This window comes from Homo sapiens, chromosome 4 (assembly GCF_000001405.40).
Source record: "Homo sapiens chromosome 4, GRCh38.p14 Primary Assembly".
Taxonomy (NCBI): domain Eukaryota; kingdom Metazoa; phylum Chordata; class Mammalia; order Primates; family Hominidae; genus Homo; species Homo sapiens.
This window is the reverse complement of record NC_000004.12, coordinates 32,419,551-32,437,247: the sequence shown is the minus strand read 5'-3', so window position 1 is coordinate 32,437,247 and position 17,697 is coordinate 32,419,551. Positions and strand designations below refer to the sequence as shown.

Here is a 17,697-nt window from a genome sequence, read left to right as displayed (position 1 = left end):
TACTTGCAACTGCTTTATTATCTACATTTTTAATTATTCTCAAAATTATATGGGAAAAAATTTCAGATATGTAATCACATCTTAAATAATTACTTTTTTTTTTTTTCAGTTCGCTGGAGCAGAACAATGAAGGATTCAAAGATGAGACTGTTCTCCATTCTTAAGAATACAAGCACAGGGAGTTAACCAAAAGCCTCCACAAGGGCAAATTAGTAAGGACGGGAGGTTTTACTATACACTGCATAACCAAGTGACTGCTGAGTCAGCTGTGTAGATGAAAAAAGGCTTCAATGAGCAACTACTACTGCTGTTGAATTTTGTAATGTGAACAGTCTCATCTACCTGTTATTTCCTCAGAACTCTTATGTTTGGGTGCGAGTTTCCTAAACACTAGAATAAGAATATTGTGGGAAGAATAATTTAGTAAAAACAATTTTATTTATTATCCAGATATTGAGCAGACTATTTATGTATTCACTTGACGTATGAATTACCTGGAAATGCAAAGTATATTGAAGTCAACAGCATTTGTGTTTTTTTGTTCACTGCTATATATTTAGTACCAACTTCTTATGGGAAATTTAAAAAAATATTTGTTGGGTGAAGCAATTATTTTGTACTTAAGTATAGTTTTCTGAATTTCTACCTACACGTCCAGCACCAGTAGACACTCTGGGGTGGTAAAGTATGAAATTTAGCCTTCAATATCCTATAATTTAGGTCCTCATAATTATTTTGGAAGACAAATTCTAAAATCTAATGTGAAAGAATGTTTATAACCTGTACAGTGCCCATAGCCAGTGCTGTGGGAATTTACTTCAACAATCACAGTGATCATTTTAAATGCAAGCGAGATCATGTTACTCCGCAAAACCCTGGGATCCACAATTAATTCAATGTCAGAAACAAAGTCCTTTGGTAATGCTGGCATGATCTGAATCCCTTATTGACTCTTCAATCTCATTCGCTATTCCCCCACCACACATTTAACTCCCATCCACACCTACTGTCCTATTTTCAATTCCTGAAACATCGGAGATATTCTTGAGCCTCAGAACTGTTGCGCTGATGTTTTTCTTTTTCTAGAACACTGTTTCCCTAGACATCCACGTGGCTATTTCACTTTTTTCAAGTATTTTCACAACTAAGTTCTCAATGAGACATAACTGTTATCACTCAATATTAAATTGCTTATCGCCTCCCACAGAAATCTAGTTCTTTCTTTTTCTGATCTCTGTCTCCTTCCAATAACCATAACTTCTAATGCATTATAAGATTTATTCATTTCTTATTCTGTCTCTTCCACTAGTGTGTAAGCTCTATAAATTTAGGTACCTTTCTTTTTTTTTTTTTTTTTAGGTCTTCTAAGCATTCAGACCAGAGTCTAACTTTTAGATGGTACTTAGTAAACTTAAAATTATTTTTAATTTTGTCATTATATGGGATAAAATTGTGTTAAATGGCAACAAATGTTTGAAAGTACATTATATCTCATTTGTAAAAATGCACATCAGTATACTCACAATATTTGGAATATATAATTCAGCTATAAGCACCTGCCTATCAGTAACCTTATCTTATATTTCTTTGGGATTATTTTGCTAAGTACATTACCATCTGCCAAGTAAGTGCTCACAAAATACATGTCACATTCACTGAATAAACATGAGCCTTATTATTTCTAACAACTTCCATAAAACAAGCATAGTGTAAAATGTCGGATTTGATTGAGCCAGTCTTTCCTCATACTCCCATCTAATACAATGACAGCATAGCAAAGCACTCGGTAACAGACAGATGGTTTAAGTTCCTTAGATGTTAGCAGCATTGCTAATTATGCCTATTCAAATCTTTGCACATTTTCAGATAATATTACAACTCAATGACTTTCTCTTAAACCATTGGAACTAACTTATACAACTTTGGGTAGAATTTTGTTAAGTGTATGAGAGATTTTCTGGGGCATCATTTTTTTTAAAAAAAAGTCTGTTCATTATAAGCCACATACAGAATCTTCACATAGATATCTTCGTGTAGAGAAGGTACGGAATCTTCAGTGCCTGAGATAACCCTGGAGTTTCCTGGCAAATATCCTACATTGGTAAACTTGCAGTGCAAAGATAATGGTGGAGTGGAAAAATCATTTTCCGAAAAGTAACTTTATTCACCAGCAAATAATCAGTAAAAAGTGAAAATATTTTAAGAATGGGAATTTATTTTTTATTTTGTTTTTATATAGAAAGAAAAGCTGTTATACATGTTTAATATTAAATTTATCATATAATCCTTTCCTTTTATTTCAAAGAAATGTCTATTTAGTCAACTTTGTATATTTTTTTAAATAGAAGCATTTCTTTTTCATCCTGATTTTTGTAAGAAAGATCACTGTAACTTTACAGAAAAACCTTTAATTTCATACTATAAAGCTTTGGACTTCTTGCTACATTTAGTTCTTCTACTGGAAAAAAAGATAAACAATATCAGGGGCTTCCAAATCACAACTATATCTTCTGGCTCTGTAGTTAATGAAATAATAAATTATAGGCTACAGTTATGAATTACTGCATCAAATACCAAAGACACCTATTAAAATAAGATTTAAACATTTTCCATATTTGTATACCTTCAAACAGAAAGAACAATTTATTAAAGTGGGGTATATTCTGGAAACATTGTTATGTTGTTTTTCTTCAAATGTGATATTTCTTTGGGGAAAATTACTGCTTTTTGCTATTTCTCTAAAATTTGGTTTATTTGATTTAATTGACAAAGATCTTTCCTGTGGTAAAAGAATAAAGAAGGATGTATGGCTTATTTGATCTGATCATTATCAGATTGTGTTTTAAAGTGAAACAAAAAAATTAATATATTAAATCATATGAGCCATGCAGCCTTCAATTATTGAGAAAAATTTTAGTGACAGAAAATTAATTTCTCCAATTTTTTTCTAACCACTCTTCACTTTTTCACATATTGATTTTTCTGGGATTTGTTTTACTATATCATGATAGGTTGTACTCACATATCACCTTACAACAGAAATGTATCCCAAACATCACATGCAAAACAGAGCCCTCATTGCCAGTTTTTCTCCTTATCATGCTTTATTCTCTTTCAAGGAACTTGTAACCAAATGAAATGTTATTTTGTCTATTTGTTAATGATCTACGTTCCTTGTTTTCTCTATCCCATCCCCATTCATAAGCTCTTAGAGAACAGGGGCTTTGTTTTGTAACATATATCTAACATGTAGAATTTTCTGAGGCATGTAGAAGATGATCAAATGACTGTTGAATGAAACAAGTGTGCAGATACCAAGTAAAAATATTAAATCAATATGAACTTGCTCATTTTTCTGATTTTGTAAAGAATCATTTTACAACAATATTGTAATATAGTCAGTACCTATGACAGGAAAAACAATAGTCAATAAATTATTGTTTATATTGAACTGTTTATCATTATGCAATTCCCTTCTTTGTCTTTTTTAATCTCTGTTGGTTTAAAGTTTGTTTTGTCTGAAATTAGAATTACAACCCCTGCTGATTTCTCTTTGCCATTTGCTTAGTAGATTTTTCTCCATCCCTTTATTTTGAGCCTATAGATGTCATTGCATGTGAAATGGGTCTTTTGAAGACTGCATACCATTAGGTCTTACTTCTTTATCAAGCTTGCACTTTGTGCTTTTTAATTGCGACATTTAACCCATTTACATTCAAAGTTAGTATTGATACGTATGAATTTGATCCTGTCATCATGTTAACTGCTTATTACATAAGCTTGTTTGTGTGGTTGCATTGGTAACAAATGTCCTTAACATTTGCTTGTCTGAAAAGAATCTTATGTCTCCTTTGCTTATGAAGTTTAGTTTGGCTGGATATGAAATTATTGGTTGGGATTTCTTTTCTTTAGTAATGTTGAATCTCTTCCGTGATGTAGAGTTTCTGCTGAGAGGTCCACTTTTAGTCTAATTGGCTTCCCTTTGTAGGTGATCTGTCCTTTCTCTCTAACTGCCCTTAACATGTTTCATTCACTTTGACTTTGAAGAATCTAATGATTATGTGTCTTGGGGATGACCTTATTGTGAAGTATTTTGCAGGGGTTCTTTGCATTTCCTGAATTTGAATGTTGGCCTCTCTAGCTAAGTTGGGGAAGCTCTCATAGATGATATCTTAAAACGTGTTTTTCAAGTTGTTTCTATTCTACCCATCTCTTTCAGAGATGCCAGTGACTCATAGATTTTGTCTGTTTACATAATCCCATATTTCACAGAAGTTTTGTTCGTTCTTTTTAATACTGTTTTATTAACTCTTGTCTGATTGTCTTATTTCAGAAAGCCATTCTTCAAGATCTGAGGTTCTTTCCTCAGCTTGATCTATTCCTACGTTAATACTTGCAATTTCATTATAAAATTCTTGTAGTAAGTTTTTCACCTCTATCATGTCAGTTACACTCTTTTCTATACTGGCTATTTTGTCTGTTGAATCCTGTATCATTTTATTGTGATTCTTAGCTTCTTTAGATTAGGTTTCAATGTTCTCTTGAATCTCCATAATCTTTGTTCCTATCCATATTCTGAGTTCTATTCCTGTCATTTCAGATATCTCAGCTGGGTTAAGAACCTTGCTGGAGAACTACTGTGGTCATTTGGAGGAAAGAACACATTATGGCTTTTTGAATTGTTAGAGATCTTGTGCTGGTTTTCTCTCATCTTTGTGGGCTGATATTCCATCAATCTTTGAAGTTGCTGTCTTTGGCTGTTTTTTTTTTTTTTTCATCCTATTTAATGACCTTGAGGGTTTGAGTGCAGTATAAGGTGAGTTTAGTCAACTGGCTTCAATTCTGGAAGATTTTAGGGACCCAAGCTCAGAACTCCTGGACTACATGCTCTATCTAACTCTGGGGGACTGATATTAAGTTCCTGCTTTGTTCTTTGGCTTCTTGAGGTTGGGGACCTACTGCACCAGTATGGCTGAGGTGTTCCTGGACCGCTGGTCACAACATTCCAAGGGGTGGTGCCAGCACTTCATAGGGTGGTAGCAGTGGGATCCATCCTCATTTGCGTGTGCCAGTAGCAAATGTAGCTGCAGTATGGTAGGATGTACACTTGTCAGCTGCAGCAGGATGTAGGGGCCCACCTAAAGGTAAAGGGTGGAAAGAGAGAGAGGAGGGGAAAAAATAACAATTGGGTAGTAGGCTTAGTACCTGAGTCATGAAATAATCTGTACAACACACCTTCATGACACTAATTTACCTATATGAAAAACCTACACGTGTATCCTTGAACCTAAAATGTTTTAAAAAATAATAAAAACATAAAACATACTATTGCTAAAAAATTATTGTTCATAATATTGTGAACAATTGAAGTAAAAAACAAGTGAAAATGTAGGCGAATACATGACACTATGTAAAAATATTTTTAGAATTTAGGCCTCATATACAAATATCTCCATATATACACATATAAATATATATCATATATAAAACATATAAATATATGGAAATATATACATATAAATATATATCATATATAAAACATATTTTTAAAATTTGACATATACATGTAAAGATAACCATAACTATTTACTAATTTACTGATATTAGGAAATTATATGTTTAAAATATGTATAGATTCAAAATTTAGACTTTCTTAGAAAATTTAGTTATAGGAACAGGTGTGTGTAGATGTACAAATGTAGGGATATCGATATAGGTACGCAGAGTTAAGTACTAACATATACAAGAAATATAACTCTTTAAAAAAATATTTAATTATGCTTTTAGTTCTCGTTTAATGGGGTTAGTAAAAAATTTGATCTGGAGCCTCTCTGCATCCCCTAGAAATCTAGTGGTTATTGCAGTTCTAGAGCTATGCTTTCATAAGAAAATTTTTAAAAAAATGTTTAGAATACCATTTGTCTATATGCATCAAGTAGCTATTACTCTTTGGGGTTTTATCACATTGTTAAGGCAGAGCAAAGTATGAATACAAAGCTCTCACAGTTCTTTTGCCTCTCTCCCAACATGGCACAATCACTATTATTGGAGAAAAACACACTGTGATGGTTAATACTGAGTGTCAACTTGATTGGATTGAAGGATGCAAAGTATTGCTCCTGGGTGTGTCTGTGAGGGTGTTGCCAAAGGAGATTAACATTTGAATGGGTGGACTGGGAGAGGCAGACCCACCCTCAATCTGAGTGGACACCATCTAATCAGCTGCCAGCTCAGCTAGAATAAAGCAAGCAGAAGAAGGTGGGATAAACCGACTTGCTGAGTCTTCTGGCCTTCATCTTTCTTCCATGCTAGATACTTCCTGCCCTCAAACATCAGACTCCAAGTTCTTCAGCTTTTGGACTCTTGGACCTACACCAGTGGTTTGCCAAGGGCTCTCGAGCCTTCAACTGCAGAGTGAAGGCTGAACTGTCGGCTTCCCTACTTTTGAGGTTTTGGTTTTGGGACTGGCTTCCTTGCTCCTCAGCTTGCAGACCGTCTATTGTGAGGCCTCACCTTGTGATCATGTGAGTCAATACTTCTTAATAAACTACCCTCATATATACATCTATCCTACTAGTTCTGTCCCTCTAGAGAACCCTGAAAAATACACACGTTACCTGCTTTCAAACTGTTCTGCTTATTCCAAGAAAATTATCACTACTTGCCATGCCTTCTGCAATACAATGACTTTCTTCAGAGTCTTAGGTGTTGAGAAAACAGAATATTTTGAATGAAATTTTGCTTTCAGACATATTACCTTGCCTGAACCAACATCTTACAGAAATAACTACTTTCTTGAATGGAGTATGGTGGAATGAAACTACAATGCAGAGAGAGAATATACATATACATATACATATACATATACATATACATATACACATATTTCAAAACACCTTCCAATCATATGCAAGGATAAAAATATTTGTAATATAAATATATTTGTAAAATTCATTTGTTACTTCTTTAAACCTAGTAAAGGAAGCATATAACTCTAGTTAAAGCTTAGCTCTCATTAAAGGTTAGATTAGTGTTAAAAGATATTTAATCAAAGTTGAAAATTTTGAAGATTTTAATTTTACAGCAATATTTTCCTGAACTAACATACGAAATTTCAAGACGATGGGCTTTCCTTCACATAAAAAGCACTTTGTAAGCTTCCATGTGTTCTCAGACTATATTCTGACTTCTACATTACACAAAAATGTTCGTAAGCATGTTGAATGCTCATGGAAGCTTGAGTTAATTTCTTTCTTTGTCATGCATCAGCTGGCCAGCTTGAGTTGGTTACTAAAACTACCTAAATAATGTGCTCTGCATTGGTAAAATATATTTGTCCTTATTCCTGAGACTAAGTAAATAAACGCATAAAGCATATATAAAAATATAAATATAAAATAAATGTAACATATTTGTTGATGAAACTAAATAAAACACCTTTAATTCATAAATAATACATGCAAATAAATTAGCTCAATGCCCTATATAAAATATGTATATACTAAATATTTGTGTAAATAAACTTTTCTTTTATAAGCCTATTTTATATTTATTAATATATATATGAATTAAAGTATGGTTGTGTGTGTGTTTATATGTCACTACCTAATTTATGCATGTTTTATCTGTCAGGTTATTTTCCTGAGATCTATTTCCTGGCCGAGAGATTTTTCCTGTCTCAGAGAAGTTAAGAATAAGTTGTGTTCTTGACAAGAGATTCTTATTTTGCTATAATTATGCAATACAACAATACAGTTTAACCTGTTTCCAGCTCATGTTAATTCAAACAAGGAATCCATTATCCATTTTCAAAGACAGTTAGGATAAATGTGTTAGTTTTGCATGATTTACGTTGGATCAAGGCAGAGTCTTTATCTACATAGTTTATTTTATTCTTTGTTGGACAATGATAACCATTTCCTGTTGGCAAAAGCACAACATTCTGCTTCTCTTTCTTAATGCAATTATCTTACATTCATTGGAGACAAGAGGCATAACTATTTGAAAACTCCATTATTTTCTCTTGCTTTATGCCCAAAGCATATAATGTAATCCATACAATAGAAAAGAATTACAGCAGTGACGATTACATAAGCTTAACTGCAGATCATGGGATGAGTAAAAATGAGAAGAAATTACATATCTGTATAAACAATAAAAATATTAAATGACTGTATTCCTGTAAACATCTGATTAAACATCAAAAATTAAAATTACTATTACCATACCATGAAATGCTATTTGGATTCTGCATATCAAATCTTACATTTATTATTGCAGTAACTGGATACATGTAAAATAGATATGATTAGCAACCCTGCCACTCTTAAGTCATTATCCAAATAATGCTTTGATTGTACTTTTTAAGGACCTTGTACAGAAAGAGTTTTTATATCTGCCAACCAGTATGGTATTTGTAACAACAAATCTATAGTCTGTTGTTTTTTATTTAATCAGTGAAAAAATATAATAAAAAAACTCACATATTCTATTTAGATATAGCAATTAGATTTATTCAGTAGTACTGTTGGATTTCATTTGGTTGTGTTATATTTAATACTTGAATGGGAATACTTAATTATACTAAATAAATGTTGTATTTCTGATCCAGATGGTATTATAAGTCACCATTTTTGCCTCTTCCACCACTGTTGCACACTGCCATGACAAAACCATAGCAATGGTAGATAAACTAATATTTTAATATTTAAAAATTATTATGCACAAAATGATTTCCTCAAAGAAACTATACATAACAGTGAATGGTGCTGAAGCTACTTTTCTTTGAGTTGTACGTTCATACAAAGTAAAATATCACCTGAGGATCCACTTTAACTGAATAGTGGAAAAAAAAATGCCCCATGTTAATTAAAGCAATGAAGTCCATATATACACACACACAGACACACACACACACACACACACACACACACACACATATATATATGTCACAGGCTTAATGACGATGTGGCTTAAACAGATCAGCATGCCCCTCACAATCAGGTCCTGTATTAGACCTTAGAATTTTTTTTTTTTTTTGAGACAGAGTCTCACTCTGTTGTCCAGACTGGAGTGCAGTGGGAAGATCTCAGTTCACTGCAACCTCCTCCTCATGGGTTCAAGTGATTCTCCTGCCTCAGCCTCCCGAGTAGCTGGGATTATAGGTGTCTGCCACCACATCTGGCTAATTTTTGTATTTTAGTAGTGATTGGGTTTCACCTTCTTGGCCACGCTGGCCTCGAACTCCTAACCTCAAGTGATCCACCCACCTCGGCCTTCCAAAGTGCTGGGATTACAGACGTAAGCCACGGGGCCCGGCCAAACTTTAGACTCTTTAATAATTGTATTTGCTGTATTCCAAGGTTTCTGAAGAACATTTTTTATGATAGATGGATACAAACCCTTCTCACCAAGGTTGTTCAAGTTAAAATTATGAAACACATGTAGTTCTTCAATACAAAGCTCTTAATGTTACACTGGGGATTACTCTGGACGTATTTCTCATTCTAGCTGTCAAGAGGAGGGGGAGGAAAGCTCACGGAGGAGAGGTTATAGAAAGTTTTTATGAACATAGTGCCAATTTTCCGTCTATAATCTATTGACTAGAATCGAGTGACAAATAACAAGAAAGGCAGACAAATGTAATCTAGCTGTATAAAGGAAAGGATGTGAATTTCAGGGAGCAGCAGCCAGCAGTTTCTATGACCTGCTAAAAAACATTACCACTAATAAGGATTGCTCACAAAATCTGTCATCAACACGTGAATTGAATCCAGATGAAATGAACATAATGAAGTGCCCTGAGAAATGACTTTACATAAGTAAATAGGCATCTCATATTCTATCTTGAAAATCAGATATTCTATACAAAAATATGCAATTGAAAGGTTTTTAGTATCTTATGGGAAGAAAATAATGTGTTGTACAACAACCTAAAAAGTCTAACCAATTTTATAAAATTTGACTGGAACACAATAATATTCTTTATATAAATAATAAATTATAATGTCAGAAACTAATCTTTACATTTTTGCACCTGATTATCAGGCAATGAATACAGTTTTTGAAATATTTACCCAATAATGTGTTATCTGAACAATTGTGATTTGAATAATAATTTGATACTATTTTTTGCTCTGTTTTGCTAATATTTTCCACACAATGAATGTAATCGCTATATTTTCATGATGTAAGTTTTCTTCTATATACAACTGATTATTAACATAGTGAAGGAATTCAATTCTACAAATTAAAAAAAGTCATAATTACAGATGAGAATATTACACTTTACTCTGGAATATGGTTACTTAACAGCACATTTTTTTCGAATGTTTCTTTTGTACTGTATGAGCTACCCTGAGAGTGTTGCTCTATCACTTAGAATGACCTGAGAAACACTCATTAAGAAATAACCAGTGAAATCAACAAGATGTCAGACTAGCAGGCCAGCAGGTTCCCGTGCTTATCTCCCCCATAAGAACAACAAAAACAACAAAGAAATAACTACCTGTTGATGAATGTAACTGTGAAATATAAGAGAGAGCTCCAGAGTACAGCAGAGAAATAGCAGAAATGCTATGGAGTGCAGAAACAAAGGCCGACCAAATAGAAGAGTAAGAAACCTTTTGTCTGCAGCAAACACTCCACTCTCCAGTCAGGATCAACAAGGATCCAAGAATGATTCACCCATCCAAGAAAAAGGTAAGCAAGAAGGCCTTAGTAGCCCTCAACACCACTGTGGGGGAACGAATCATAATTTCCAAAGCACACAATGCCAAACATCATAATCCCAAATGTTGAAATCCTAAAAGATTCAACTCCCTGAAGTCTAAAACCCTGAAAATCACAATTTCAAATGATCAAATTATTGAAAACATAATTCTGGAAAGTGCAATTAAGAAAAAAATTTAAAGATATTTTTATTTTTACAACAAGAAACTTAAAACATAGGAGAACATAGGCCACTTTACACAATTCTGTTAGTCCATTTTCACACTGCTACAAAGAACAATCCGAGACTGAGTAATTTAAAAAGAAAAGAGGTTTAATTGACTCACAGTTCTGCAAGGCTGCGAAGGCCTCAGGAAACTTACAATCATGGCGGAAGGCAAAGGGGAAGTAACGCACGTCTTACCTGGTGGCAGGAAAGAGAGAGCAATGGGGTAAGTGTCACACTTTTAAACCATCAGATCTCATGAGATCTCACTCACTATCACGAGTACAGCATGGAAGAAATCACCGCCATGATCCATTCACCTTCCACCAGATCTCTACCCTGACACATGGGGATTACAATTTAAGATGAGATTTTAGTGAGGAAACACAGCCGAACCATATCAATAATAAAATAGGCAAAATAACATATATTTTTGCATAAATAAACATTTAGGTATACCAATGACAGTTATATGGGTATAACAGTTATGAGTAGACAAGCCATATTCATAAAGACATAAGTCAAAATTCAAAGTGCATAAACAAGTATCACTATGGTTGTTAGTTGTGTGTGCCCATCTTTATGGCAGCAGTCATCTGAAATACTGAAATACAGTGATGGACAACCTAAGCATTTGGAAAAGATTGATAAAAAACCATGATGGATCACCACTGCATAGCCACACCAGTTGCCCAAAGACCCAAGATTTTTAAAAATTTTATTTTTCACAAAAGCGGATATACAACAAAAAAGCCTCCTCAGCTAATCGAGGAAGTTTCAATGTCTTTATGTACATGCAAAATACATGGTCACAAAGTAAACATTGTGATAATATGCTTTTATAAAATCACCTTGTAAAAAAATACATAAAATGTGTCAGAACTCTGTAAAAGTCTTTACATGATTCATACCTTTACTATTAGAAATGACAAAAATATAAACCACAGAGCATAGCAAATGGCAAAAAATAATGCTGACAATATAAAATATTTTTTTAAAAACTAAAAAAAACTAAAAAGAAAATTTGTCATGTAAAAACGTGTATTACAGAGATAATCCATAAGAAATGAACAACTTTCATGATCATTAACTATGTTTTGTAGTCTTGCATTCATCATGATGAATAGCTGCTTTATTTGCTTAAGACATGTCTCTCCTCAGAGCATACGTTTACATTCATTTTCTGTGTGACACTACTCTTTTTGCAGTTCTTCTATGATTTAACATACACTGACATGAACCTTCCTGTCAAATTTTTCCATCTTACGTGCCATGGTTCTTTGTTGTTTGGGGTATGCAGAAATCCACACCCCATGCACATGTAGACCACAGATTTGGTGGAAACAATACGGTGATCTAACAGCAAACACCATTGCCTAAGTGTCTTCTTATCCTACCATGTACACAATTATTTACAAAACAGTAACTTCAGTCGCTTCTTCAGGCAAATGCACCTTTAATTCATTAAGAGCTCCTGGAATGTCATCAGCTGAGAGGAATGTCAATGCAGGCAAATGACGCATTTTTAATCTGAAGTTTTCATATCACATGGCTAAACCATTTATCTGAATGTTCTACCAAATGCATCAGAATAAATGGAAAAAACGATCTTTATTAGTAACACTTTGAAATTTACTTTAGAAGACTTGGTAGCACCTAATTCCAAATCTGTTGTTATATTTTGGGTATTGAATTGAAATTTATTTTCCTCTGCATGAAGACAATAACAAGGTACTACTAGTCCAGCCTAACATGATGCAACTATCTTGTGATTATGATTTTCAATCTATTAGACATTAGAGATTTAGAATTTAAAGACTTTGCTCTTTAGGGACTATGATTTTTCCAGATTTCAACATCAGAGAATATGGCATTCAGTATTATGTCTTTCAAGATTATGATCCAAACTCCAACTGAGGATACCTGTAGCATTTTGCCACTGGGAACTCTTCAAGAGCTCTTCAAGTGCAGTCTTCAAGAGCACTGAGCCCAACTGAGGGAGCTTTCCAGAACCTGCTGGAAAAAGTAGCACTGCTGGAAAAACTAGCACTGCTGATGTACTGTGCTGTGCTGGACTCCCCGGACCAGGGTAGATTTTGCACCCTTCCATCCCTGGGGCCTCGTTGCCACTGCACTCCTCCCTACCTGTCTGGGGTGCATGATATCCCTCCATCCCTGGCATGAGTAGCTGCTGTACCCCACCCCTATGGTCTTGGGTCAATGCATGCCCTTCCCTTTCTGGAGCCTGAGTTGTGATGGAGCCTGTAGTCCCAGGACGGGAGTCCTCACTGTGTTACGCTGCCCCATCCAGGGAGGCCTGAGCTGCTGCAGCATCAGCATTCCCAGGAACCGATATAATTGCTGCACTGCACCCTGCTACTCAGGTCTGTAGTGCCCCACTTACCCAAGGACCAGAATTGCTGCTGAGCTGTGCCCCACCCTCCAGGGCCTGCATTGCAGTTTCACCCTTACTCCTGAAACTGAGCTGCTACAAAGTCACATTAATCTTGGAGCCACACCCCTCAGAGGCAGAGTCACAACTGTGCCCTGCTATTACTGGGGGCTTAATCATGCTGTACCTCACACCCTGGAAACTGAGCCACAGCTGTGCCTCAACATTCCTAGGGCCTTACTGCCACTTTATTCTCCCACTGTGGCCTAAGCTACTGTGGTGTCTGGTATCCCAGGAAATGAAATCACCACTGTGCAGGGCCCTGCCTACTGGGGCTCCAATTACCACTGTGTCACAATCCCAGGGCTGCGCTGCTGTGGAGCCGTATCAACCCTAAGGCCCAAGTCACTTTGATAGCCCACCAACCTTGGGGCCTCAAGGCTGAGGCATCATACCCACCAGAGTCTGAATGACCAGAGTGCTGCAGCACCACAGGGATCGAAGTGCTGCCTCCTGCCCTTCAGGGCCTCAGTCACAGGTACACTTATACATCCCTGGGAACTAAGTTGCCCCTGCTGTCTTCCTCTGAAGGCTGAACCACCAAACTATCCCTTAACCCTAGGGCCATGCCACTGCTGTATCCTGCTCCCTGAAGTCTGACCACAGCTATACCTTTTTGGACTCTAACCAGTGGGTCTGAGCCACCAGGGTATGCCTCAGAGTCTCAGACCATGAATTCATGGATGACCTGTACATGTCCATGTGTCAATGAGTATGCCCACATCCCAGGACTCAGGTGCTACAGTAGTCTAAAAAGGGTGACTACTTCATCAAATGAACAGATACAAAGCAACAAGAAACAAAAAAATCAAGAAATTATGACATTACCAAAGTAACACAATAATTATCTAGTACTTAACTCCTCAAAATGCGTATCTACAAATTGCCTAAAAAGAAATTCAAAATAATTATTTTGAAAAAGTCGCTTAGATACAAGAGCACACAAATAAACTAAATGAAATCAGAAACACACTACATGAATAAAATGGGAAGTTTAACAAAGAGATAGAAGTTATAAATAAGAACCCAATGGGAATCCTAGAGCTGAAGAATATAATCAGTAAAATGAAAAAAAAAATGCAATAGAGATCTTCAACAGTAGACTTGATCAAGCAGAAGGAAAATAATTGCAAACTCAACAAGTTTTGAAATTACCCACTCAGAAGAAAAAAGAGAAAACAAATGAAGAAAGCCTATAGGACTTATGGGACACCATTAAGTGAACCCATTATGCATTATGGAAGTTCCAAAAGGAGAATGACATGAGAAAGAAGTAGAAAGTATGTATCAAAAAATAATGGCTGAAAACTTCCCAAATCTTAGGAGACATATGAAGTACAAATATTTCTAAACAACTTCAATCCAAAGATTTCTGTCCTGAGGCACATTATAATCAAACTGTCTAATATCAAGAAAATGAGACAAGAGAAAATCAATATTTTACATACTTGGGAATCTCCATAAAGCAGTCAGTAGATTTCAAAGGAGAAACTTGCAGGCTCAGAGCAAATGGAATGATACAGTACTCCCCGCTTATCTGCAGGGAATATGTTCTAAGACCCTTCAGTGAATACCTAAAGCTCCAGATAGTATGAAACTGTATATATACTATCTTTTGTCCATACATCCATACTTATAATAAAGTTTAACTTATAAATTAGGCACAGCAAGAGATTAACAATAATAAAATAGAAACAATATAATAATATACTGTAATAAAAGTTACATAAATGTGGTCCCTCTCTCTCAAAATATCCTTTTATTCTGCTAACACATTTAAGGCCCTTTTCATCTGAACAAGTAAGCACTTGTTTGCTGTGGCTGCAACTTTGCAGTTTCAGGTGGGAAAACAAAACTAGCACAATAGATTTTCCTTCTTCAAAATTTGACAGATAGAACATTGATTTTTTTAATCATAGATTTTTGCAACTTCCAACATAACATTGTTATTATTTTTTTACTAAGTGGAGAACTTTCATCTTTTCACTTAACAGCATTTTATGGCTTCTCTTTGGCATACCCAACTTCTAGCATTACCACTATTGCACTTTTAGGCCATTGTTAAGTAGAATTAGTGTTACTCAAATACAAGCACTGCAATATTGTGACAGTCTGTCTTGATAACTGAGATGGCTACAAAGTGACTGAAAGATGGGTAGTGTATAGAGGATGGATCCACTGAACAAAGTGATGATCGCATTCAAGGTGGAACAGAGCAAGCTTTTATCACATTACTCAGAATGGTGTGCGATTTAAAATTTATGAATTGTTTATTTCTGGAATTTTCCATTTAATATTTTCTGACTACAGTTGACTACAGATAACTGAAACCACAAAAAGTGAAACCACAGATAAGGAGGGACTAATGTATATACAAAGTCTTGAAAGAAAAAAAAAGTATATGTCAAATAAGAATACTTTACCTGACAAAGTAGTCCTTTAAAAACAAAAGAGAAATACAGTCCTAGACAACAATAACAACACAAAATAAAAAAAGATAAAGGAGTTATTCAGTACTAGACTTGCCTTACAAGAAATATTAAAGGGAGTTCTTCAAGTTGAAATGAAATAATGTGAATTACTAACTTGAAAAATGTGACAGTATGAAATTCACTAGTAGAGGAAAATATACTCCTAAGTTTAGAATAATATTGTAATAGTGATGTGCAAATCATTTTAAACTACAGAATAAAGACTAAAAGACAAACGCATTACTAGTAACAAAAGATATAACATTTCCTTAGTGGGTACATAATATAAAAATATTTTAAGTTGTTACATCAAAAAAATATTTTAAGTTTAATGTAATAACGTAAAGGAAGAAAGGAAGGAACACTTGAAGTATAGAATTTTAGTATAAAATCAAAGTTGCTATTCAGGTGAAATACACTGTTATATTTACATCATATGTTATGTAATCATCATCATAACTAATATGATTTGGCTCTGTGTTCCCACCCAAATCTATCTTGTAGCTCCCCTAATTCCCATGTGTTGTGGGAGGTACCTGGTGAAAAATGATTGAATCATGGGGGCAGGTTTTTCCCATGTTGTTCTCATTATAGTGAATGGGGCTCATGAGATCTGATGGCTTTAAAAACAGGAGTTTCTCTGCACATGGTCTCTCTCTTTGCCTGCTGCCATCTATGTAAGATGTGACTTGCTCCTCCTTGTCTTCCACCATGATTGTGAGGCCTCCCCAGCCATGTGGAACTGTAAATCCAGTAAACCTCTTTCTTTTGTAAATTGACCAGTCTCATTTATGTCTTTAACAGTAGCCTGAAAAATGGACTAATACAATAATAGAGAAAGTAATCAAAGCATATCAGTCAGAAAAAGAAGAGAAAAGAAGAAAGTGTCTACAAAACAAACAGAAAACAATAAACAAAATGGCACTATTAATCCTTTCTCATCAATAATTACGTTGAATGTAAATTGATTAAATTATCTACTCAAATGTGATAGAATGGCTGAATAAATAAAAACCATGATCTAACAATATCTTGCCTACAAGATACTCACTTCTTCAGGATAAACCATGTATTAGGACACCAAACATGTCTTACAATTTAAGAAGATTGAAATCATACCAAGTACCAAGTATCTTTTCTGACCACAGTGGTATGAAATTAGAAATCAATGATAGAAGGAATACTATGAAATGAACAACTATGTAGAAATTAAACAACATGTTTCTGAATTGTCAATGGGTCAAAAATCAAAAAAGAAGCTCGAAATATCTGAAGACAACTGAAAATAGAAACACAGCATTTTAAATCCTATGGGATACAGCAAAAGCAGTTCTAAGAGGGAATTTTGTGGTGCTAAATGTCTGCATTAAAAAAGAAGAGAGATCTGAAATAAACAACATAATATTACATCCCAAGAAGCTAAAAAAAAAACAAATTAAACTCAAAGTTATGAGAATGAAGATAATGATAAAGATTAGGGTAGAAATAAATCAAATAGAGAATAGAAAAACTGCGAAAAAAACAACAAAACTCAATTATTTTTAAGACCAAACAAATGTGACAAACCCTTATCTAGATTGAGAGAAAAAAATATTAAATAAATAAAGTCATAAATGAAAGAAGGCACATTATAATGGAAGCCTCAGAAATAAAAAAGAACATAAGGGACTAATATAAACAATTATATCCCAACAAACTGAATAAACTAGAAGAAATGGATAAATTTCTGGAAACATACAACTGAACAAGATTAAAACATGGAAAAGTAGAAAGCCTGAAAAGACAACAAATAAAGATTGTGAAATAGTTATTAAAAACCTCCCAACAACATTTTAAAA

The 17,697-nt window shown here is 34.5% G+C and overlaps 1 long non-coding RNA gene across 1 annotated transcript in view; it reads left to right on the top strand.

The window, feature by feature from the left end:
* LOC107986223 (uncharacterized) overlaps positions 1-180 on the top strand; it is a 123,399-nt gene extending 123,219 nt beyond the window's left edge. Inside the window, exon 4 of the long non-coding RNA XR_001741503.1 lies at positions 110-180. This is a non-coding gene — a long non-coding RNA (uncharacterized LOC107986223). The remainder of the gene's footprint in view (positions 1-109) is intronic.
* Positions 181-17,697: the final 17,517 nt, after the last annotated feature.